General features: G+C 42.0%; 1 protein-coding gene and 1 non-coding gene across 6 annotated transcripts, besides 2 other annotated features; one reads left to right on the forward strand and one right to left on the reverse strand.

Annotated features, from left to right (window-relative positions):
* Positions 7,467-7,566: an enhancer, noted in NCBI's record as "active region_8069". NCBI's record gives its function as "activates an Ori minimal core promoter by ATAC-STARR-seq in GM12878 lymphoblastoid cells {active_cell/tissue: GM12878}" and the evidence as "EXISTENCE:reporter gene assay evidence [ECO:0000049][PMID:35858748]".
* On the reverse strand, positions 8,020-8,360 carry RPPH1 (ribonuclease P RNA component H1). The gene has a single exon (NR_002312.1).
* Positions 8,497-8,666: an enhancer, noted in NCBI's record as "active region_8070". NCBI's record gives its function as "activates an Ori minimal core promoter by ATAC-STARR-seq in GM12878 lymphoblastoid cells {active_cell/tissue: GM12878}" and the evidence as "EXISTENCE:reporter gene assay evidence [ECO:0000049][PMID:35858748]".
* On the forward strand, positions 8,584-22,853 carry PARP2 (poly(ADP-ribose) polymerase 2). Of its 5 annotated transcripts, none has more exons than NM_005484.4 (16): positions 8,584-8,636; positions 9,881-10,075; positions 10,343-10,413; positions 11,812-11,862; positions 15,475-15,571; positions 15,996-16,071; positions 17,194-17,296; positions 19,034-19,196; positions 19,758-19,896; positions 20,701-20,764; positions 20,846-20,980; positions 21,256-21,383; positions 21,539-21,638; positions 22,000-22,098; positions 22,345-22,469; positions 22,587-22,853. In NM_005484.4, exons 1-16 carry the CDS (start codon positions 8,591-8,593, stop codon positions 22,744-22,746), a joined length of 1,752 nt encoding a protein of 583 aa, NP_005475.2. In that variant the 5' UTR covers positions 8,584-8,590; the 3' UTR covers positions 22,747-22,853. The 5 variants fall into 5 exon arrangements, with proteins under 5 accessions (NP_005475.2, NP_001036083.1, XP_005267304.1 ...); NM_001042618.2 differs by having other exon boundaries at positions 9,881-10,036; XM_005267247.4 differs by lacking the exon at positions 22,345-22,469.

The following is a 25,202-nucleotide window of genomic DNA, read 5'->3' on the forward strand; positions in this document are numbered from 1 at the left end:
CTAAAGTGGCTGAAACTTAATCCTCATTAGAAGTGGGGCCTTCAAGAGGTGACTGGATCATGAGGGTTCTGCCCTCATAAATAAATTAATCTATTCATGGATTAATAGGTTATCATGGGAGGGGAACTAGTGGCTTTAAAGAAAAGGCAAAGAGACTTAAGGATAGCATGTTAGCAGTCTCAGCATCCTGGCCATGTGATTTCCTGCCACGCCTTGGAACATCACAGCGAGTCCCCTCCAGCAAGAAGGAGTTCAGATGCAACCCAGAGGCAGTCCTTAACCTTGGACTTCACAGCATCCATAACTGCAAAAAATAAATTTCTTTTTTAAAATAAATTACCCCACAGCCTAGCCAACATGGCAAAACCTCGTCTCTACTAAAAATACAAAAATTAGCTGAGCATGGTGGTATGGGCTTGTAGTCCCAGCTACTCAGGAAGCTGAGGTGGGAGGATCGATCACTTGAACCCGGGAGGCGGAGGTTGCAGTGAACCAAGATTGTGCCACTGCAGTCCAGCCTGAGTGACAGAGTGAGGCCCTGTCTCAAAAACTAACTAAATAAATAAATAAACCAGGCTTGGTGTGATGGCTTAGACCTGTAATCCTAGCACTTTGGGAGGCCGAAGCAGGTGGATCTCTTGAAGCCAGGAGTTCGAGACCAGCCTGGCCAACATGTCGAAACCCCATCTCTACTAAAAATACAAAAAATTAGCCAGGCATGGTGGTGCACACCTGTAATCCCAGCTACTTGGGAGGCCGAGGCAGGAGAATCGCTTGAACTAATGAGGTGTAGGTTTGGAGTACCGCTATACTCCAGCCTGGGAGACAGAGCAAGACTTTGTATCCAAAAAATAAATTAATTAAAAAACAAACTAATAAATAAGTGACCCAGTTTCAGGTATTCTGTTATAAGCAACAGAAAACAAACTGAGACAGCAGCCATCCAACTTGACAGCCCAAACTCAACCACCACATTGCACTGCTTCCTATATTGTGTGATTTCAGAAAACCTTAGAAAGTACAATATTCTTTTCAAATTCCCATTAAATATCTAACATTTCTTTATGATATTCTGTATTCCAGGCTTTAATACTTATAATAATCCATGATGAAATTCTCTTCAGCTGGTAACATCAAAATTTTGTGCTCTGTAAAATAACTTTGAAATTGTTTAAAAGTCGATAGATTCCTGGGGCCAGGTGTGGTAGGTCACATCTGTAGTCCCAATACTTGGTAGGTGGAGGCAGAAGGAGCGCTTGAGCCCAAGAGTTTGAGGGCAGCCTGGGCAGCATGGTAAAACAACTGTCTCTACAAACAATAAAAATAAAAAATTGCCAAGAGTGGTGATGCCTCTATAGTCCCAGCTACTAAGGTAGGCTGAGTCGGGAAGAGAGCATGAGCCCAGAAGGTAGAGGTTGTAGTGAGCTGTGTTTACACCACTGCACTCTAGCCTGGGCAACAGAGTGAGACCCTGTTTCAAAAAAAAGTAGATTCCTGGGACACACGTTCAGAGATTCTAATTCAGTGGGTGGGACTCAGGAATATGTATTTTAATAAGCACCCTCAGGTACTTCCGGTAGATTTGAGGCTCACCCTTTGGAGAACACCAACTGAATGACTATCGTTTAAGGATGTTATCACTGAAAGGGTGGTGGGGTTGAGGGATAAGGACTACATGCTGAGTACAGTGTACACTGCTCTGGTGATGGGCGCACTAAAATCTCAGAAATCACCAGTAACCAAACACCACCTGCTCCCCAAAAACCTATTGAAATAAAAAATAAATTTAAAAAAAGGAAAAAAGGGATGTTATCACTGCTGAAGTGAGTAAACTCTTGGAAAAGGCAGCACTCTAAAAATTTCATTTATAATTTATTCAAAATGAAGAATTGAGAATGGCCATTTGTCTGTAATTAAAAATTAAGCATCTCCTTTGCAAGTTTACATTTGGTTATCCACCCTGGAGAACTATTGTGCTCAAATGGGCATGTTCAAGGAAGGATGTTCCTTGTAGCACTGGTTATGACAGCAAAACAATTAGAAACACCCATGTCTATTCAAAGATCATTAAATCATGATACAACTATTCCTTGGCGGCAGGGGTGGTTAATGGGTACAAAAAAATCGTTAGAAAGAATGAATAAAACCTACTATTTGATAGCACAATAGGGTGACTATAGTCAATAATGACTTAATTGTACATTTTAAAATAACTGAAAGACTGTCCATGGATAAAGGTTTCAGGGGATGGATACCCCATTCTCCAGGATGTGTTTATTTCACATTGCACATAAAACATCTCATGTGCTGGGTGCGGCGGCTCACGCCTGTAATCCCAGCACTTTGGGAGGCCAAGGCGGGTGGATCACGAGGTCAAGAGTTCAAGACCAGCATGACCAACATGGTGAAACCCTATCTCTACTAAAATATACAAAAATTAGCCGGGCATGGTGGTGTGCGCCTGTAATCCCAGCTACTCAGGAGGCTGAGGCAGGAGAATCGCTTGAACCACGGAGGCGGAGGTTGCAGTGAGATGAGATCGCACCATTGCACTCCAGCCTGGGTGACAGAGCGAGACTCAGTCTCAAATAAATAAGTAAATAAATAAATATCTCATATACCCCATAAATTTATACACCTATTATGTACCCACAACATTTTTTAAATGATACAACCATTCTATGAGATACTACCCAGTAGTTAAACAGAATGAAGTAAATCTGCATGTACTGACATGAAAACATCTCCAATGCATATGAAGTGAAAATAGCCAAGAATAACACCATGTAATATGCTCACATTTATGTAACACTTCTCCCCCCCCCCACAAAAAATGCAAAATAGAATAATTCTGTATGTGCACATTTTTGCAAGTAAATGAAAAGAAAATAGTCTGGAAAGAGACACACCAAACTGCTAACAAGTTACTCCAAGGAGAAGGATTGAGGGAATTAAGGGAGGAGCTTTTTGGTTTTGAATATCTGCAATGTTTTACGAGAAGAATGTGTTCGTGTTTAAAAAATAAAACAGTACCTCTCCACAAAATAAGGGTAGAGATCCAAGAGTAGGTTTCAATTTAGAGGGGAGAAGAGAAAAGTAGGAGACCCCAACCCCCTAAGGCAGCAAAGGACAGGCTTCAAAGGCTAAATGGACACCACATTGAATGCCTATCCCCCAAGTTGAACCTAGGACTCCAGAGATTGGGCCTTCTACATGTTCAACACCTCCTACCCCAACTCTGAGCTACTACTTTCCCCCTTTTAATACGTCTCAGAACTCTCTCCATTTTAAATTAATATCTCTTGAGGATCCTTTCCTTCCAAAGTTGTAGCAAAGTAGAAGGTTCTCATCAACATCCCTTTCCTAGCTATTCCTGAAGACATGTATGCAAATTCCTTTAAATGGTGGTCCTGATCCGCAGCTTTGCTGATCACTTTTGGAAAATTGGCAAATAATAAATTTGGAAATTTGTTTATAACATCAGGCAATATAATATATAAATAAATATAAATAAGTTTGGAAACATATTTATAACATCAGGCAATATAATAAACCATACTTGTGGAATTTCAAAGCTTTTAAAATCTTACTAGTTTCCTTCAATTACTGATCTTTTTGATTCTGAATTTCTTTTTTAAACAACTCTCAAGATCCACCTCTTTGAATAAGGTAGGAAAGAGAAATCCTCAAGACAGTGAAGTTCAATAAAGTCTCACCTTTCCTTCAGAACCCACCCTCTTTTTCAAGTCATACCCCTTGCTCCTTGACACCCTGTCTTATTTAGTATCTCATTCAACAAATATCATTGAAAGCTAGATACTGTTCCAGGCATTGGTTACAGAGCAGGAAACAAAATACACAAAGCCCTGGCTCACTTGGAGCTTACAGTCTATTGGAGAGAGTCAGATCTCCTAAAAATTAAACAAATATATGTTAAGTTGTAATTAGTACTCTGGAAAAAAATAAAGCAGAGTAAGAGGCTACAAGTGATAATGGGAGTGATGTTATTTATATCAAGGAAGGCACCACTGCTACTAAGAACAAAGACCTGAAGAAAGTCAGGGATCAATCTTGTTAGCTGGAAGAAGAGTAGACCAGGTAGAGAGAACAGAAGCCTGTAGGGAGAAGAGTGACTGGTATGTTTGAGACAAAGTGGAAAGAGGCCAGAGTGCCTAACAGGAGTAAGCAAAGGGAAAAATAGTAGCAGATGAAATCAAAGCACTGGGGTAAGAAGCAGATCATATAGAGCCTGGTCAAGCCACAGCATTTGAGATGGGGAGCCACTGGAACAAAAATCTAACATGATCTAACTTTCATTTTATTTATTTATTTTTAAATTTATCTTATTTTTTAGACAGGGTCTTACCCTATTGCCCACACTGGAGTGAAGCAGGGGAATTGCTTGAAACCCGGAGGCAGAGGTTGCAGTGAGCTGAGATCACACCACTGCACTCCATCTGTAAAAATAAAGTAATTCTAGATAACGTGATGTCTTATCAGAAAATACTATAGCATGCTTTTTTTAAAGAACTTTTTTTTTCCTTTTGAGAAAGGGTCTTACTCTATCACCCAGGCTGGAGTACAGTGGCATGATCACAGCTCACAGCAGCCTTGACCTCTCAGGCTCAAGTGATAAATTATACAGCTAATTTTTGCACTTTTTGTAGAGTCGGGTTTCGCCATGTTGACCAGGCTGGTCTTGAACTCCTGGGCTCAAGCAATCCTCCTGCCTGAAGTTCTGACTGCTGAGATTACAGGCATGAGCCCCCACACCTACCCTAAAGGACATTTTAAAATCATAACTAGAATATCATTATTTTAAACCTAACTAGAATACCATTATAATATCTAATAAATAATTCCCTAAAATCATCCAATTTCCAGTCCATATCCACATATCCCCATTTATTGCTGGCTTGTTCAAACCAGCATCCAAACATTGCATTTGGCTGTTAGGCTTCAAATGTCTCTTTTACTCTAAAACAGTCCTAACAATTTTTTTTTTACATAATAGTATGAAGAGAGTAGGCCAGTTGTCCTGTCGAATATTAATTTGTATTTTTCATACTATGTGAGCCTGAATATCTTTTCCATGCACTTATTTATCAAATGCAAACTGTTTATTAATATCTTTCATCCACTTATCTATAGAGGTTTTGGTTTTAATTATGAAAATAAATTTGTTGGTTTCTTCCAGGCTTTTTTTGTTTTTGTTTTTCAGACAGAGTCTCGCTCTCGTCACCTAGGCTGGAGTGCAGTGGTGCGATCTTGGCTCACTGCAACCTCCGCCTCCCCAGTTCAAGCTTCTCCTGCCTCAGCCTCCTGAGTAGCTAGGATTACAGGCACCCACCACCATGCCCAGCTAATTTTGTGCTAGAGAGGGGGTTTCACCATGTTGGCCAGGCTGGTCTCGAACTCCTCACCTCAGGTGATCCGCCTGCCTTGGCCTCCCAAAGAGGTGGGATTACAGGCATGAGCCACCGCACCCAGCCGGTTTCTTCCAGTTATTGGTGACATGCTTCAGTACTATTTTAGTTACACTTGTTCTGTATTTGACTATAAAGAAGTTATATCTTCACAATATATTTTCAGTAATTCTCACTCTGACCACCATAATAACTAAAAAAGAAAAAGAATCAATAAAAACTTTAAAAATACATTTTTAAAAATGTGTGTGGGATGGTAACTACTGTCATGAAACAGAATACATTAGCCTAGTAGATAACAACATAATTTGGAGTCACCCAGATCTGGCCCTGCCTTTTAGGAACTGTATATTATGAGCTGAATTGTGTCACCTCAAAATGTATGTATTTGAAGAACTCTCATTATCTCAGAATCTGCCTGTATTTGGAGATAGGACATGTAAAGGGGTAATTAAGATAAAATAAGGTCATACGGGTTGGGAATAATCCAATATCACTGATGTCCTTATAAGAAAAGGAGATTAAGGGCCAGGCACCGTGGCTCACGCCTATAATCCCAGCATTTTGGGAGGCTGAGGCGGGTGGATCACTTGAGGTCAGGAGTTTGAGACCAGCCTGGCCAACATGGTGAAACCCTGTCTCTAATAAAAATACAAAAATTAGCCAGGTGTGGTAGCCCACGCCTATAGTCCCAGCTACTCAGGGGACTGAGGCAGGAGAATCGCTCAAGAACCTGGGAGGTGGAGGTTGCAGTGAGCCGAGATCTTGCCACTGCACTCCAGCCTGGGCAACAGAGCAAGACTCTGTCTCAAAAAATAAATAAATAAATAAAATAAAGGAGATTAGGACATAGATGCACAGAGAGGAAAGACAGCATCCATCTACAAGCCAAGGAGAGAGGGAGGCAGGCCTTAGAAGAAATCAGCCATGTCAAGACCTTTACCTTGGGCCTCTAGCCGCCAGAATTACGACAATGTATGTAGTTATAGCAGCCCTAGCAATACACTGTGTGATCTTGAATAAATTAAATTTTTCTAAAGCTCAGTTTCCTCAACTATAAATGGAGATAATAACATATGCCTCATGAGGTTGTTGTGAGAATTAAATAATGTATGTAAAGCTCATAGCATAGTAAGAACTAAATAAATTCTGGCTATTATTCTTATGAAGATTAAATGAGGTTATGCATGTAAAGCATTAGCTCAGCCTCTAGTACACAAGAAAGTTCTACTAAGTATTAGCTATTTTTAATAAATTTTCATTTCATAAAGGCTTATATTTTTCCTATCTCCAAAGTATTTCCTTTTAGACCTAGTCTAATTTATTTGTGTCATAATTAAGTCAGATGTAACAGGCTTTGTACCGCTGAAACAGGTTAAGCAATCCTATCCAACAACATTTATTGAGCACTTACATTTTGTTAGATTTATTTCCAACTACTTGATATGCTTTGGTGTTATTGTAAATGCTACCTTATCCAAAAATTTTATTTATAGTTGTTTGAAGCTCTTTTATAAGCATGGAATTTATTTTCACACGCTATTTTCTATCAGTCTTGCTAGGCTTTGTATTAAGGTAAAATTTTTATCCTGTAGTTTCTTCTAGCTTTTAAAATATTCATAATCAAATTACATGCAAATAATGAGATTTTGGGTTTTTTCTTTCTAAACTTTACATCTTTTGATGAACAAAAATTAAAATGTATCAATTTTTTTTTCTTTGTTTTTTTCAGACGGAGTCTCACTCTGTCACCCAGGCTGGAGTTCAGTGGCGGGATCTCGGCTCACTGCAACCTCCGCCTCCCGGGTTCAAGCGACTCTCGTGCCTCAGCCTCCCAAGTAGCTGGGATTACAGGCGCCCGCGACCACGCCTGGCTAATTTTTCACTTTTTTTTTTTTTTTTTTTGTAATAGAGACGAGGTTTCGCTATTTTGCTCAGGTTGCTCTATAACAGATACTATGCTATCCTAACAATATGTTTCTAAATGATATTAGTGCCAAAACCAGGATTACCCAGTGATTTTGTTAATACAGGCTTATTGAATCGGAGGGTCTGGGGTGGGGAATTTGCTTAAGTATGCAGTCCCCATACTCGGTGATTCTCATGAAGCCAAACATTTGGGCGCCCCTCACCTGATGTCACCAAGAACCAGAAGACCAATTAGAATTTTCGTGGGCTTCCTGCCCCATGGTTCCCTCTGTTCCCAAAGGGTTTCTGCAGTTTCACGGAGCTTTTCACATTCCACTCGGTTTTTTTTTTTTTGAGACTCGCTCTGTCGCCCAGGCTGGAATGCAGTGGCGCGATCTCGGCTCACTGCAAGCTCCGCCTCCCGGGTTCACGCCATTCTGCTTCAGCCTCCCAAGTAGCTGGGATTATAGGCGCCCGCCACCACGCCCGGCTAATGGCTAATTTTTTGTATTTTTTTTTTTTAGTAGAGATGGGGGGGGGTTTCACCGTGTTAGCCTGGATGGTCTCGACCTCCTGACCTTGTGATCCGCCCGCCTCGGCCTCCCAAAGTGCTGGGATTATAGGCGTGAACCACCGCGCCCGGCCCGGTTTCGTTTTGTTTTTTTTTTTTTTTTTTTTTTCCAAAAATGGGCGGAGGAGAGTAGTCTGAATTGGGTTATGAGGTCCCCTGCGGGGTACCTCACCTCAGCCATTGAACTCACTTCGCTGGCCGTGAGTCTGTTCCAAGCTCCGGCAAAGGAGGCATCCGCCGGGCCCCTCCCCGAAGGGCGGGGTCCACGGCATCTCCTGCCCAGTCTGACCTCGCGCGGAGCCCCGTTCTCTGGGAACTCACCTCCCCGAAGCTCAGGGAGAGCCCTGTTAGGGCCGCCTCTGGCCCTAGTCTCAGACCTTCCCAAGGGACATGGGAGTGGAGTGACAGGACGCACTCAGCTCGTGGCCCCACTGATGAGCTTCCCTCCGCCCTATGGGAAAAAGTGGTCTCATACAGAACTTATAAGATTCCCAAATCCAAAGACATTTCACGTTTATGGTGATTTCCCAGAACACATAGCGACATGCAAATATTGCAGGGCGCCACTCCCCTGTCCCTCACAGCCATCTTCCTGCCAGGGCGCACGCGCGCTGGGTGTTCCCGCCTAGTGACACTGGGCCCGCGATTCCTTGGAGCGGGTTGATGACGTCAGCGTTCGAATTCCATGGCGGCGCGGCGGCGACGGAGCACCGGCGGCGGCAGGGCGAGAGGTTCGGAGCTCAATATCGCGGGACGGCATGCGGGGGGCGGGCAGTCAGAAAGGAACGATGCCACCTACTGTGACCCCCTTCCCCTTCCAGCTCCCTATAACCTGCACTTGGCTACCAAACCAGTTGGGGTGCTAAATTTTGTAAATTTCGGTTTTCAGAGCTTTGGGGATTACATAATTGTGCATAAAGCCTTGCGGAGCTGTAACAACTAATGTGCCAGTACTGTTGTTAATACCTAATGTCATCCAATTTACAAAAAGTAATTGTAAGGCACACCATTATTTTATACACAACAAAGGATAAGCACTGAAAATGGTGAACTGTGATTCACTGCTTATGTCATCCATTGTAAGATGCATCCCAGTTCCAGAGAGTAAAATGCGAGTCTTAGACCTATTGAGATACGGTATTATGTGTATAATGTTCTTAAATGCATAGGTGCACCCTATAAATTAGGTTCTATTGTACTTCTCTAGAAGTACAGTATTGTACAATATTCTAATATTGGAGTAAGTGAAGTAGGAAGAGATCAAATACTTCTCCAAGTTTCCACAGAGAAAAGCAGCAGAGCTAGGCTCTAAATTAGGCACAGACCCTTGAGCACTTAACTAACCTTTATCCCATACGGCCTCATGTATGAGGTGGGTATTTGGGGGACATTGGGACACAAGTAAAACAGATAAGCAGGCCTCAATCTATGAGCTTACAAGACTCCTGGGACTCCCTTTTATTTTGTTTTATTTCATTTGGCTAGAATAGCAATTTAGGAAGAATTACACAGACTGTTACACAAAAGTAGTGTGGGACAGTTGTTATTGCCTCTGTAAACTTAGAAAATTATCTTAAACCGGCGGGGTGAGGTGGCTCACGCCTGTAATCCCTTGGGAGGCCGAGGAGGGCAGATCACTTGAGGTCACGAGTTCGAGACCAGCCTGGCCAACATGGTGAAACCCTGTCTCTACTAAAAATACAAAAATTAACTGGGCATGGTGGTGCACGCCTGTAATCCCAGCTACTCAGGAGGCTGAGGCACGAGAATCACTTGAACCCAGGAGGCGGAGGTTGCAGTGAGCCAAGATCGCACCACTGCAGTCCAGCCTGGGCGAGAGAGTGAGACTCCACCTCAAAACAAAAAAAGAGAGAAAATTATCTTAAACCATTTCTTTAAAAGATTTTTTTCAATCTTTAAAATCTACACGTATTCGGGTGTGTACTCATTCTTTGCTAATTTCCAAATTCTGTAGCATTAAATGAAAGCAAAAGAGTTAATAATGGCAACACGGCTCCAGAAGACTCTTCCCCTGCCAAGAAAACTCGTAGATGCCAGAGACAGGAGTCGAAAAAGATGCCTGTGGCTGGAGGAAAAGCTAATAAGGACAGGACAGAAGACAAGCAAGATGGTATGCCAGGAAGGTCATGGGCCAGCAAAAGGGTCTCTGGTAGGAGTGGATCTGGGGATGATATCTTGTTATTTCAACTCCTATTTCGTCCTTCTTTCAGGGAATAATTAATTTCTCTATCCTTTGGGCATACCACAGCACTAATCTACTGCCTTGAATCTTCATTTTCATGTATTTGAGATGGATTGGGGTCTAAGGAAAGACCAGGATTGGTTGGGCGGGCAAAGTTAATCCTGACAAGTTTCTGTTTTACCACAACAGCTGTTTTTGATTCCCATAAAGTAGTACCTATCTGTCTTTCCTCAGAATCTGTGAAGGCCTTGCTGTTAAAGGGCAAAGCTCCTGTGGACCCAGAGTGTACAGCCAAGGTGGGGAAGGTAAGAGACTCTGGAACCGATCTTCAGTCCATGGATATCTCAGAGAGCATCCTTTGTTATAAGGACTCCTGTCTGGGATGCTGTTAGTACTCATTTTAGGAATCCTCTCCAAAATATGATGAGTGAGTAGTTTTCTCTAATGGCAAGAGATAGGAGTGGTAGGGCTTGGGGTTAATAATCAGGGTGTTTTTTAACATGGTGTGTTAGACCATTCTTGCATTGCTGTAAAGAAATACCTGAGACTAGGTATTTTATAAGAAAAGAGGTTCCTAGAGGCTGTACAGGAAGCATAGCAGTATCTGCTCCTCAGGAGACCTTAGGAAACTTTTACTCATGGCAGAAGGTGAAGCGGGAATAGGCACGTCACATGGCAAAAGCAGGGGAGAGAGAGAGAGACAGAGAGAAAGGGAGAGAGAGAGATTGGAGAAGGTGTCACAGAGAGAGAAAGAGAGAATGGGGAGGTGTCACACGCTTTTAAACTACCAAATCTTGTGTGAATTCACTCACTATCAAGAGGACAGCAGCAAGACAGTGGTGCTAAACCATTCATGAGAAATCCACTTCCATGATTGAATCACTTCCCACCAGGCCCCACCTCCAGTACTGAGGATTACAATTCAGCATGAGATTTGGAAGGAGACAAATATACAAACTATATCACATGCGTACCTTTTGTGGTTGCCATCAGCCTTCTACACCTCATTCTCTTTTTAAACCAGAAAATGGTATCATTGTTAAGGGAAAACTGTTTTCTTGTTCTAATGAGAAACTGTACCCTGGAATGGCATGAGTTACTGATGAATGGGGAAAAAAGAAGGCTACCTCTGGAATAAGTTTTCTTTAACTCAGTTAGAATCTTTTTTTTTTTTTTTTTTTTTTTTGAGATAGAGTCTCACTCGGTCACCCAGGCTGGAGTGCAGTGGTGTGATCTCAGCTCACTGCATCCTCCACTTCCTAGGTTCAAGTAATTCTCTTGCCTCAGCCTCCCAAGTAGCTGTGATTACAGGTGCCCACCACCACGCCCAGCCTGGGCTAATTTTTATATTTTTAGTAGAGACGGGGCTTCACCATGTTGGCCAAGCTGGTCTCGAATGCCTGACCTCAAGTGATCTGCCCACCTTAGCCTCCCGAAATGCTGGGATTGCAGGCATGAGCCACCATGCGCAGCCTAACTCAGAATCTTTTGTATAGTTAAAAAAAAGGAAGCATGTTTTCATTTATAGTAAGGTTACACCCAGGTTACTGGTAGAACATAGGTTTGCAATTCTTTCCTTGGGAGATGAATGTTGATGTTGCTGTAGAATGATGACTTGAGCCATAAGAAAATTTAGAGCCTCATTTAGGATGTCAGGGCTGAACCTATACTAATGTTGATTTTTTCTCTCTCTCCCTTTCTAGGCTCATGTGTATTGTGAAGGAAATGATGTCTATGATGTCATGCTAAATCAGGTAAGAGGCAAGAAGAGGTGGCACCATTATATTTATGAGACCATCTTCTTGATAATTATTGATGATAGCATCACAGTGTTCAGATCTTTAAAGTCCCTTTTTTTTTTTTTTTTAAATTTTGTTTTTTCTTTTTGAAATGGAGTCTCACTTCATCTCTCAGGCTGGAATACAGTGGCACAATCTCGGCTTACTGTAACCTCTGCCTCCCAGGTTCAAGCAATTCTCCTGCCTCAGCCTCCCAAGTAGCTGGGGTTACAGGCGTGCACCACCACTCCCAGCTAATTTTTTGTATTTTTAGTAGAGACAAGGTTTCGCCACGTTAGCCAGGGTCTGGTCTCGAACTCGTGACTTCAAGTGATCCACCCACCTCAGCCTCCCAAAATGCTGGGATTACCAGGTGTAAGCCACCACGCCTTGCCTAAAGTCCTTCATATGTGTGTGTGTATATATATATATATATATATATATATATATATATATATATATTTTTTTTTTTTTTTTTTTTTTTTTTTTTTTTTTTGAGACAGAGTCTTGCTCTGTCACCCAGGCTGGAATGCAGTGGTGCAATCTCGGCTCACTGCAATCTCTGCCTCCTGGGTTCAAGCAATTCTCCAGCCTCAGCCTCCCAAGTAGCTGGGACTACAGGTGCAGTGTCTGGCTAATTTTTTGGTATTTTTAGTAGAGATGGGGTTTCACCATGTTGGCCAGGCTGGTCTTGAACCCCTGACCTCAGGTGATCCACCCACCTCACCCTCCCAAAGTGTTGGTATTACAGGCATGAGCCACTGCGCCCGGCAAGTCCTTTATATTAATATTAGCCATTAGTGGTTAAACACCTGAGTACTCAGCCCTAGCACACTCTTATCAGATAGCAGAGTCCTCTGTGAGAAGATTTTTTTTTGCAAATTTCATATCATTTATTGAAATTGTTAACTCTCTGTTCATATCCTTTTGCACATTTTTTTTTTTTTTTTAAACAGACAGGATCTTGTTCTGTCACCCAGGCTGGAGTGCAGTTTGTACAGTCATAGCCCACTGCAACCTTGAACTTCTGGGCTCCAGCAATCCTCCCACCTAAGCTTCCTGAGTAGCTCGGACTTCAGGCGCATGCCACAAAGCCTGACTAATTTTTAAATTTTTTATGGAGATGAGAATCTCGCTATGTTGGATAGGTGGTCTTGAATTCTTGGCCTCAAATGATCCTCCTGCCTTGTCCTCATGAGGCACTGGGATTACAGGGATGAGCCACTGGGACAAGCTGTTTTGCACATTTTCTAAAGTTATTGGTCCTTTTCTTACTGGTTTCGAGGAACTTTATATAATATGGAGAATAGCCTTTTGTCTGTAATACAAACCACTTGTGTTTTCCAGATTTGTCATTTACCTTTTGGTTTTCCTTATAGTACACTTTTTGCCCATATTGAAGTTTTAAATTTTTTCTGTAGTTAAATTTATTAATTTTTCCTTTTTAAAAAATTTTGGGTTTTTTTTTTTTTAATTTTAGAGACAGTGTCTTGCTATGTTGCTCAGGCTGGCCTTGAACTTGTGACCTCGTGTGATCCTCCAACCTCAGCCTCCCAAGTAGCTGGGACTACAGGCATCTGCCCCCAAGCTCAGCTTTCTTTTTAATCAACCTTTTTCTCTTGTTTACCTTTGTGGTTTTGAGTAGATAATACATTTGCCTCATTAATATATTTCCTGGATATGACTTCATGTTTGAATTTATTGATCCAACATATATAATTTTAACAACCAATTAGTATTTATTTCTTACTATTTCTTCTACTTAAAATACCACGAGCAGATAGAAAATACCTTAAGGTTAGCCAGGTGCAGTGGCTCACGCCTGTAATCCCAGCACTTTGGGAGGCTGAGGCGGGCGGATCACCTGAGGTCGGGAGTTCAAGACCAGCCTGACCAATGTGGAGAAATCCCATCTCTACTAAAAATACAAAATTAGCCAGGTGTGGTGGCATATGACTGTAATCCCAGCTACTCGGGAGGTTGAGGCACGAGAATTGCTTGAACCTGGGAGACGGAGTTTGTGGTGAGCCGAGATCGTACCATTGTACTCCAGCCCTGGGCAACAAGAGCAAAACTCCTTCTCAAAAAAAAAAAGAAAAGAAGGAAAATACCTTAAGGCAGCCAGGTGTGGTGGCTCATGCCTGTCATCCTAGCACTTTCGGAGGCCAAGGCTGGAGAATCACTTCAGGTGTGAGTTCAAGATCAGCCTGGGCAACATGGTGAAACCTTGTCTCTACAAAAAAATACAAAAACACCGGGCATGGGCCAGCTACTTTGGAGGCTGAGGTGGGAGGATTGCTTGAGCCTGGGAGGTTGAGGCTACAGTGAGCTGTGATTGAGCCATTGCACTCCAGCCTGGGTGACAGAGGGAGACCCTATCTCAAAAAAATAAAAAATAAAAACCATAAAAACATTTACAAAAAAATTTTTTAAAGGAAAAGAAAATATCAAGCTGGGCATGGTGGCTTATGCCTAAAATCCCAGCACTTTGGGAGGCCAAGGCGGGCAGATCACTTGAGTTAGGGGTTCAAGACCAGCCTTGCCAACATGTTGAAACTCCATGTCTACTAAAAATACAAAAAAAAATTAGTCTGGCATGGTGGCGTGTGCCTGTAATCCCAGCTACTAGGGAGGCTGAGGCACAAGAAATTGCTTGAACCTAGGACACAGAGGTGGCAATGAGCGGAGGTTGCACCACTGCACTCCAGCCTGGGCGACAGAGCAAGACTCTGTCTCAAAAAAAGAAAATATCTTAGGCTCCTTTTTGTTCTAACATCTAATGACCTTTTTTTTTTCACCAGTGGGCTAAGGTCGTACAATGGCTTTAGAATGTGAGCAAGCAGGAGATAGAGGTAGGAAGGGGCAGCATGCTTAACAAAAAAGAATGCCTCCATATCCAGGGCTCGGCCATACAACACCAGCTGCTATGCCTTATCATGGACTTCTCTCTCTTCACTCTGAGTGATTTACTTACAGATACCTCTTTTTAGATACTGGCCATATTCTCTCTCAGTATCTCCAAGTCAGGTCAGGTTAGGTATGGGACGGATGTGGCAGTGGTTTTGCGTATCCCTTGTCCCCTCCCATTATTGCCCTGCTCTCAGCTCATTGTCAAATTTCTGCAGCTGACAAACAAAAGCTGTGAGTAGAACTGTCAAGGAGTAAGTCATTTAACAGTTGAGCATAACAGGTTTAGACCTTTGGAGCATCCAAATTGTTTTCATTTGGGAAATAATTATTGGGAGTGGATTGGGAGCTGGAAAACACATATAGCTTAGAAAATATCTAAATAGGGAGCTGAGGCAGGAAAAAACTGGAGGAGCCATTCAATGTAGGATATTTGAGGTTGGATAGAGGGTTTTAGGAAGCTTCTAGGCTCCCACTTTAATTCCTAAGAATCCAAAGTTTAATGTATAAGCCCTATTTCTTCTTTATATCTTTAATCTTACAGGAATCTAATTTTCTTGCCTGATGCTATCCTTTTCCTTATGGAAATAACTGGCACCTGTGACGAAGGATGAGTCATTGGTTTATGTGATTTCCATTTGCAAAACTCCTTTTTTTTGTTTTTGTTTTCACTCAACATAGACCAATCTCCAGTTCAACAACAACAAGTACTATCTGATTCAGCTATTAGAAGATGATGCCCAGAGGAACTTCAGTGTTTGGATGAGATGGGGCCGAGGTAATGATTTTTATTGAGATTTTATGAGTTGGCATTCAGAAAGTCAGAAGCAGCTTAGTGGGTGGCCAAAGGATTCTCTGGGTTTAAATTGGGTCAGTAGAGGCTCTGAAGTCTGGGAGAGCCTTAGGAATCAAGTTGAGCATCTTGAAATTGGGGAATGGCAGGCATCCTCCTTAGAGTTCCCACTGGAAAAACTAAGAGCAGCCCATTGAGTCTGAAAACTCTTCTATAGTTGAACTGCTAGTAGTGCTCATAGACTATGGCAGTTAGCAAGTAACTTGTATCAACATGATTAGTTCCCTAAATCCTTTCACCTTTCCCTTCTCCCTTTCCTGCCTGTTTGTCAGATGTTAAGCAGAGAGATCTTGGAGAGCTGGCCTGTTACTCTTAGGGAACTATCTTATGTGTGGCATTTCCTTTGCAGTTGGGAAAATGGGACAGCACAGCCTGGTGGCTTGTTCAGGCAATCTCAACAAGGCCAAGGAAATCTTTCAGAAGAAGTGAGTGCTGAAAAGTGACTACAAAAAAATATACCCTCCTCTTCTTAGATGTATATTCTCTAAAAAATTTTTTTTTAGACAGTTTCACTCTTGTTGCCCAGGCTGGAGTGCAATGGCATGATCTGAGCTCACTGCAACCTCCACCTCCTGGGTTTAAGTGATTCTCCTGCCTCAGCCTCCCTAGTAGCTGGGATTACAGGCGCCCACCACCACGCCCAGCTAATTTTTGTATTTTTAATAGAGATGGGGTTTCGCCATGTTGGCCAGGCTGGTCTCGAACCCCTGACCTCAGGTGATCCGCCTGCCTCAGCCTCCCAAAGTGCGGGATTACAGGCGTGAGCCACCGTGCCCTGCCTTCTCTAAGAATTTTATAAGTGTGTGGCTTATAAAAAACTTTTCGTTTTATAGGTGTGATTTGGCCTAAATGTTAATGTCTTTTCACCCTGACATTCTGTGGTTGAAACACCAAACTGCATCCTTAGTGATTAAATCAAACTAATACCTTGAAAGTCACTAAAAACAGAAGAATCTAATATATTTAACACATGACTGACAAATTTAGGAAATTTGGGATAAGTGGAGACTATCCTGGGATAGATAATATTCAACTAGGGGCTGAGCACGGTGATGCCTGTAATCCCAGCACTTTGGGAGGTTGAGGCAGGAGGATTGCTTGAAGCTAGGAGTTTGAGACCAGCCTGGGCAACAAAGCGAGACCCCTGACTCTCCCCCAAAAAAAAGGAAAGAAAAAAAGAGAATATTCAGTTAGAATTTTTAAAACTTTATGATATAGATGAAGAACTTTCTGGAGAATTGGAGAACATGTTTCTTTCAGGGAAAGAGATTAGATGGATATCTTTTGTTTGAAATCTCAATGGCTTTTGTGGTGTTTGGGAAGGACAAGCATTGTTTTTCCCATTTTTTAAATTCCATTTGTCTCCAGAGCTTTTTTGTCCATTTAGTGTCCTCATTTAGAATTAGACTAATTTTGATTTATGGAAAGTTGATGTGTAAAGGAGCTCAGTGCTGGAAAATAAATTCTTTGGAGATTTTCTGTCTTGTAAGTCCATCTTCATAGTAGACCTTTATTTGTAAAGTTTTCTTACACCTTGGACTCTACAGATTCCTTGACAAAACGAAAAACAATTGGGAAGATCGAGAAAAGTTTGAGAAGGTGCCTGGAAAATATGATATGCTACAGATGGACTATGCCACCAATACTCAGGTAACTCTCACTATACTTTTCGAAAGAAACACATCTTCTTTTTTTATTTTATTTTTTAGAGGCAAAACTGTGCTCTGTTGCCCAGGCTGGGTGGCACAATCATGGCTCACTGCAGCCTCAAGATCCTCAGGCTCAAGTGATCCTCCCACCTCAGCCTCCTCAGTATCAGGAACTACAGGCACGTGCCACTCTGCCCAGCTGATTTTTTTTCTTTTTTTTTTGTAAAGATGAGGTTTCACTATGTTGCCCAGGCTGGTCTCGAATTCCTGGGCTCAAGCAGTCCTCTTGTCTTGGCCTCCCAAAGTCCTGAGATTACAAGCATGAGGCACCACACCTACTCCTGTTTCTTCTTACTCAGGGTAAAGCAGAATAGCTTAGATCATTCCTGGACTGGGACAGGCCAGGATATCTTGAATCCTTTCTACTTCTCACCTCAGGGGTGCTCTCACTGATCTTTGTAATCCCAAAGGGACAGTAAGAATGAGGATAGAATGTGCCTTTCTAGTCTTGGCTCTGTTATTTACTAAGGTTCTTTTTTTTTTTTTTGAGCTGGAGTTTGATTCTTGTTGCCCAGGTTGGAGTGCAATGGCTCAGTCTCAGCTCGCTGCAACCTCCAGCTCCCGGGTTCAAGCGATTCTTCTGCCTCAGCCTCTCAGGTAGCTGGGATTACAGGTGCCCGCCACTATGCCCAGCTAATTTTTTTTGTATTTTTAGTAGAGACAGGGTTTCATCATGTTGGCCAGTCTGGTCTTGAACTCGTGACCTTGGGTGATCTACCCGCCTCAGCTTCCCAAAGTGCTGGGATTACAGGCGTGAGCCATCACGCCCGGCCTACTAAGTTTCTTATAAAATCTTAGGCCCTATTTCCAGACGTTTATTGTTTTTTTCGTTTTTTTGTTTTTGTTTTTTTTTGATACGGAGTCTCGCTCTGTCGCCCAGGCTGGAGTGCAGTGGCGCGATCTCGGCTCACTGCACGCTCCGCCTCTGGGTTCACGCCATTCTCCTGCCTCAGCCTCCGGAGTAGCTGGGACTACAGGCGCCCGCCACCACGCCCGGCTAATTTTTTTTTGTATTTTTAGTAGAGACGGGGTTTCACCATGTTAGCCAGGATGGTCTCGATCTCCTGACATCATGATCCGCCCGTCTTGGCCTCCCAAAGTGCTGGGATTACAAGCGTGAGCCACTGCGGCTGGCACCAGAAGTTTATTGTTATGGACCAAGAGAGGAGTGATAAAAAATCAAACTGATTAAACAATTAACATTTAAATTTGTTTTCACTTCTGGATATATACCACCATAAAAAATTTAATTTAGATAAACTGAGGTATACCAGGATGCTGAAACTGTCCGGAAACAGTCACATATCCAAAAAAATGGAGAAGTTTTAGTCTTTTTTAAGATGGGAAGATCTGAGACATAATAGCTGTCTTTACACACTGACGTCATGAGGAAAGCCTTTTTTTTCTAGACTTATTCTGAGTTGTAAAATGTGGGAGGCAGAACTTGGATGGTCAACCCTCTATATCCATGGATTCAATGAACTGAGAATCAAAAATGTTTGAAAAATTGCTTCTGTACTGAACCTGTACAGCCTTTTTTTCCTTGCTTCTCATTATTCCCTAGACAGTGCAATATAAAAACTTTACAAAGCATTTACATTGTATAATATTGGGTGTTATAAGGAATCTAGAGATGATTTCTTAGATTGTCTTGTGTTTTGTTTGTTTTTTGCTATAGGATGAAGAGGAAACAAAGAAAGAGGAATCTCTTAAATCTCCCTTGAAGCCAGAGTCACAGCTAGATCTTCGGGTACAGGAGTTAATAAAGTTGATCTGTAATGTTCAGGCCATGGAAGAAATGATGATGGAAATGAAGTATAATACCAAGAAAGCCCCACTTGGTAGGACTTCACATTTTCTTCTGCATTCTCTCCTTATAATTCCTAGCTCCTTTAATGGATACTTTATTATCATTATGATTTAAAGCTTGCTCATAGTACTGAATGAAGAAAATGGGATTTGGGGTGACAGGTTGTATGGAGGGAAGAGGAACTATTTTGAAAGTTGAGGCTGGGTGTGATGGGTCATGCCTATAATCCCAACACTTTGGGAGGCCAAGGCAGGTGGATTGCTTGAGCCCAGGAGTTTGAAACCAGCCTGGGCAACATGGTGAGACCCCATCTCTACTAAAAATAGAAAAATTAGCCAGGCATGGTGGTGTGTGCCTGTGATCTAGCTACTTGCGAAGCTGAAGTGGGAGGATCACCGGAGCCCAGGAGGTTGAACTGCATTTAGCTGTGTTTGTGCCACGGCACTCAGCCTGGGCAACAGGAGTGAGACCCCATCTTAAAAACAGGAAAAAAAAAAGTTGAAAGATGAAAGTCTTTTTTAGGGAAGGATGTTAAGTACAGTTCACTAGATGGGATCCTAGTTTGGAGTCTGATCTCTGGGTGGGCCTGCAGGGAAGCTGACAGTGGCACAAATCAAGGCAGGTTACCAGTCTCTTAAGAAGATTGAGGATTGTATTCGGGCTGGCCAGCATGGACGAGCTCTCATGGAAGCATGCAATGAATTCTACACCAGGATTCCGCATGACTTTGGGTAAGGCCTGTGCTGTTACTTCACTTTGTTCTTCTACCTATACATATCCCCTGTATCCATCAGCAGCAGCTATAATCTTTTAAATCTTTTATTCCTAAGAAAATGATCGTCTTGAATAGGTACAGAAACAAAATGATATATAGGTAGCCTATTTAATCAGCTTACAAATATGGGATGCAATCTCCCGGCTTGACCACAGCCATATTCTCTGACAAAGTGGAAGTTACCAACCCAAGAGAGAATGGGTCTAGCTATCCAACCACCCAAGTAAAACACCTTCAGGCATATCACCCCCTTTTCCTATTTGAGTAACTAAAACCACACAAACACCATTTCTGTGAACTCAAGTGATATTAGATAGACAAAATAACATTTTACATTTGTTGATTCTGTTTTCTGGTTTACATCCGATTTCTATTTCTTTTATAGCTTTATAGAGCCCCGTGACCTAGAAATAACCCTGAGTGGTCAACAGGTCTACCTGTGCTTCTAGATAGAACTGTATCCAACTGTTCCCTGTTGATATCAATATAACTTATTTTTAAATGATTTTATAAAAAATAATTTTAACTCTAGTCTCAAAAGTCAAAATCCACATAGTTCATCTTATACCGAGTATATATTTAATATTATTTTATATATTTGGAAGTTAAGATCTCTTTACAGATCTCTTTCTCTCTCAAATGGAAAACCTGTTTCTCATACCTGTTTTCTAAAGGACCTATCTGTCATTTTCTATTTTTAGTCATGCGCCTTTTAGCCACATGTCAGAAAGCTCATTATGGGTTATATCTCTGTTCTTAGACTCCGTACTCCTCCACTAATCCGGACACAGAAGGAACTGTCAGAAAAAATACAATTACTAGAGGTGAGATATGTATGATTTGAGAAGTATTATATCCCTTATACCAGTGTCCTCCCACATTGATTCTATATCTCATCTTCTCAGGCTTTGGGAGACATTGAAATTGCTATTAAGCTGGTGAAAACAGAGCTACAAAGCCCAGAACACCCATTGGACCAACACTATAGAAACCTACATTGTGCCTTGCGCCCCCTTGACCATGAAAGTTATGAGTTCAAAGTAAGAAAAATGATCATTTATTTTCATATTCTTGCACCCTTAACCACCTCCCCCATCCCACTGTTCTCTAACTACTTCTTGTCAAGAGCAAATTGTCAATTAGGGCAGACTTTTTATGTACTAGGGATTTGGGAAGGCCAAGCTTTTCCTAGCTGCCTTGTAAGACTGTTTGGGAGCAGAAAGGTCTGCCAAGTTATATCAGAATCCCCAAATTCTTCAGTTCAGCTCAGTCTCTTGTAGAGTCTACATCAGCCTTTTTGTCTTATTTTTCACAGGTGATTTCCCAGTACCTACAATCTACCCATGCTCCCACACACAGCGACTATACCATGACCTTGCTGGATTTGTTTGAAGTGGAGAAGGATGGTGAGAAAGAAGCCTTCAGAGAGGACCTTCATAACAGGTCTGAGTCTAGCTTTGCGTTTGGAAAGACACTCCTTGCCCGAAAGTACAGCTGTAGAACTTATAAGAGGGAGTCAGAGGAAGGTGTTGGCTTTTTTATGCTTATGGCCTATCTGTGCAGAACAACAGAGTACAATAATATTGGCTTTTCCTTAGGATGCTTCTATGGCATGGTTCCAGGATGAGTAACTGGGTGGGAATCTTGAGCCATGGGCTTCGAATTGCCCCACCTGAAGCTCCCATCACAGGTTACATGGTGAGTGAAATTGAACTCTGGGAGGAGCACAGGGGAAAGGGATACAGTAATGTTCTCAGTGCTTTTTTTCCTAGATTAGGATTAGATGGTTCCCCTCCCCAAGAGTTAAGCCAGCTCACTGATAACCTTGTCATCTCTTACTGTGTCCCTCTTTCTTTAAATTCCTAAAGATACCTCACCTTTCCCTCAGAAGGCGGAAATTCACAGGGGCTTCTACCCTCTCTAGAACAGAATTGTGAGGGGAAATGGAGAAGGGTCTATATTGTGTTTAAGGGAATGGAAAAACAGGGTCAGTGGTATGCACCTTCTCTCTAACACAGTGGGTTAGAAGCTGACCTTGGTATTCATGTATATATTTCAGTTTGGGAAAGGAATCTACTTTGCTGACATGTCTTCCAAGAGTGCCAATTACTGCTTTGCCTCTCGCCTAAAGAATACAGGACTGCTGCTCTTATCAGAGGTGAGACAGGAGTATGTCTGTGATCTCTAGTTTATTAATTCCAGTTTTTTTCCGATGAGAAAAGTTTGACCCCAGAACCAAGAGGTTTACCTGGGATAGCTTGAGAGAGGACCAAGTACAATTTCTAGTACATTGGATTCCTCTGCTGGAGTAGGGGAAAAAAGTACTGATGGGATTTTCTGTTTGGCTTTGGAGCCATCTAATTCTTAGTAGGATATGGGAATTCAAAGGTTTTTTGCTTTGCAGGTAGCTCTAGGTCAGTGTAATGAACTACTAGAGGCCAATCCTAAGGCCGAAGGATTGCTTCAAGGTAAACATAGCACCAAGGGGCTGGGCAAGATGGCTCCCAGTTCTGCCCACTTCGTCACCCTGTAAGTACTCAGAACCAGGAGGACTAGAAGACTCCTTTTGGCCAGATAAGACTACGTTCTCTATTGCAGCTTCTGAACCAGAGACTGATGTTGACACACTTTTTTTCCATTTGGCAGGAATGGGAGTACAGTGCCATTAGGACCAGCAAGTGACACAGGAATTCTGAATCCAGATGGTTATACCCTCAACTACAATGAATATATTGTATATAACCCCAACCAGGTCCGTATGCGGTACCTTTTAAAGGTTCAGTTTAATTTCCTTCAGCTGTGGTGAATGTTGATATTAAATAAACCAGAGATCTGATCTTCAAGCAAGAAAATAAGCAGTGTTGTACTTGTGAATTTTGTGATATTTTATGTAATAAAAACTGTACAGGTCTACCACTGGCTTCTTCGGGCTTTATTTCTCCAAGAACATATTTCTTCTGACATTAGTAGATCTCCATTTCCAGGACAGAAATTACTCATTGCTCTGAGGGTTATTCAGTATCCTGTTCTTAGTGGCATCTGTGCATTGAGGGACACTAATGGGGGCGCTAATGCTTTTACCTGTTTAATTCAATTTTTCTGCAAACTGGAATTTGTTGAGTATTATCACAGGAAGGGTAGAGGCAACAAAGGCTAAGTCGTGTTTTTCTTTCCCATGCATATGTATTCACTTGCCTTTTTCAAATTTATCCACTGCAGCCTAGGTCTCCCACTACTCAACATCCTAGGACTCATCACATGTCCAAAAATTTGGGAAGCCCTTGGAGGACTGTCACTAAGCCTGAATACATCTTGAGGAGGAAAGGAAAAAAGTGGAATGAGTTTTTACATAACCTGCTCCAACTAAGAAGTACTAAAGTCCAGGTCAGATCCTGATATGGTTAGGCTTTGTGTCCCCATCCAAATCTCATCTTGAACTGTAATCCCCAGAATCCCCACATTTTAAGGGAGAGACCAGGTGGAGGTAACTGAATCATGGGGGCAGTTTCCCCCATGCTGTTCTTGTGATAGTGAGTGAGTTCTCACGAGATCTGATGGTTTTATAAGGGGCTCTTCCTACTTCGCTTGGCACTTCTCCTTCCTGCCACCCTGTGAAGAAGGGCTTCCCCTTCACCTTCCTCTATGATTGTAAATTTCCTGAGGCCTCCTCAGCCATGGTGAACTGTGAGTCAAACCTCTTTCCTTTATAAATTACCCAGTCTCGGGCAGTTCCTTATAGCAGTATGAAAACAGACTAATACAGATCCAAAGACTTCCTGATTGTATTTAAACACACAACACAGATAAACAACACACTTCCTTAAGTAACAGAGAAGTTTGTTTAAATTTTTCCTGTAACTTTTTAGAAACCAGGTTTCCAATATCTATCAAAATTTGAAATGTTCATGCCCTGTTGACCTAAAACTTACAGATATATATGTTTGCATAGATGTCACTGAGGCATTGGTGTACACAAAAAGATCATAGATAAGGAACTAGTCAAATATATCTACTCACTGAAGTAACCTGCTATTAAAACTGAAGTAGACTGCATACTTTTCCAAAGAATAGAAGAGAGGAAAATACTTTGCAACTAATTCTACAAAGCAGAATGAAACCAAAACCAGATGAAGATATCACAAGAAAATAAAATTATAGACCAATATCCCTTAACAATATAATTGCAAAAATCAACAAAATACTACCAAGCCTAATCCAGCAACATTATAAATGGACTATATACAATGATCAAGTGAGATTTATCACAGTAATGCAAGATTGAAAACCAAGGTAGGGCAAAAATCACATGATCATCTCAGATGCAGAAAAAGCATTTGGCAAAATGTAACATTTTTTCATAATGAAATAAAATCCAACAAAGTAGGAATGAAAGGGAGCTTCCTCCACCCTATGAAGAACATCTATGAAAAACTCACAGCTAACATTACAATGGTGAAAGATTGAAAGCTTATCCTCTAAGATCAGGAATAAGACCAAGATGTTTGCACTCACCACTTCCATTCAATATTGTACTGGAGGTTCTAACCATGGTACTTAAGCAAGAAAAAAAAGGCATCAAGATTAAAAAGGAGATAAAACTAAATTTGCAAATTACGTGATCTATAGAGAAGGCCCAAAAGAATCCATATTTAGAGCTAAAAAGTTCAGCAAGATTGTAGGATACAAGATGAATTGTATTTCTTTTTTTTTCTTTTTCTTTTTTTTTTTGAGACGGAGTGTCTTGCTCTGTTGCCCAGACTGGAGTGCAGTGGCGCAATCTTGGTTCACTGCAACCTCCACCTCCCGGGCTCAAGTGATTCTCCTGCCTCAGCCTCCCGAGGAGCTGGGGCTACAGGTGCCCACCACCACGCCTGCCTAATTTTTGTATTCTTAGTAAAGACAGGGTTTCACCATATTAGCCAGGCTGGTCTCGAACTCCTTACCTTGTGATCCTCCCACCTCAGCCTCCCAAAGTGCTGGGATTACAGGCATGAGCCACTACACCCAGCCTGTATTTCTTTTTATTTTATTTATTTTTCTGGAGATGGCATTTTACTCTTGTTGCCCAGGCTGGAGTGCAATGGTGAGATCTCAGCTCACTGCAACCTCTGCCTCCGGGTTCAAGTGATTCTCCTGCTTCAGCCTCCCGCCTCGGCTTCCCAACTAGCTGGGATTACAGGCATGTGCCACCATGCCTGGCTAATTTTTGTATTATTAGTAGAGACAGGGTTTCACCATGTTGGGCCCAGGCTGGTCTTGAAC

Source organism: Homo sapiens, chromosome 14 (assembly GCF_000001405.40).
Source record: "Homo sapiens chromosome 14, GRCh38.p14 Primary Assembly".
Taxonomy (NCBI): Eukaryota; Metazoa; Chordata; class Mammalia; order Primates; family Hominidae; genus Homo; species Homo sapiens.

Bases quoted from the DNA above. Each gene is read 5' to 3' on its own strand.
- PARP2 (NM_005484.4), top strand. From the start codon at position 8,591: ATGGCGGCGCGGCGGCGACGGAGCACCGGCGGCGGCAGGGCGAGAG. The intron at 15,572-15,995 runs GTAATGATTTTT...TTTCCTTTGCAG, and splicing joins TTGGATGAGATGGGGCCGAG to TTGGGAAAATGGGACAGCAC. The intron at 22,470-22,586 runs GTAAGTACTCAG...TCCATTTGGCAG, and splicing joins TCTGCCCACTTCGTCACCCT to GAATGGGAGTACAGTGCCAT.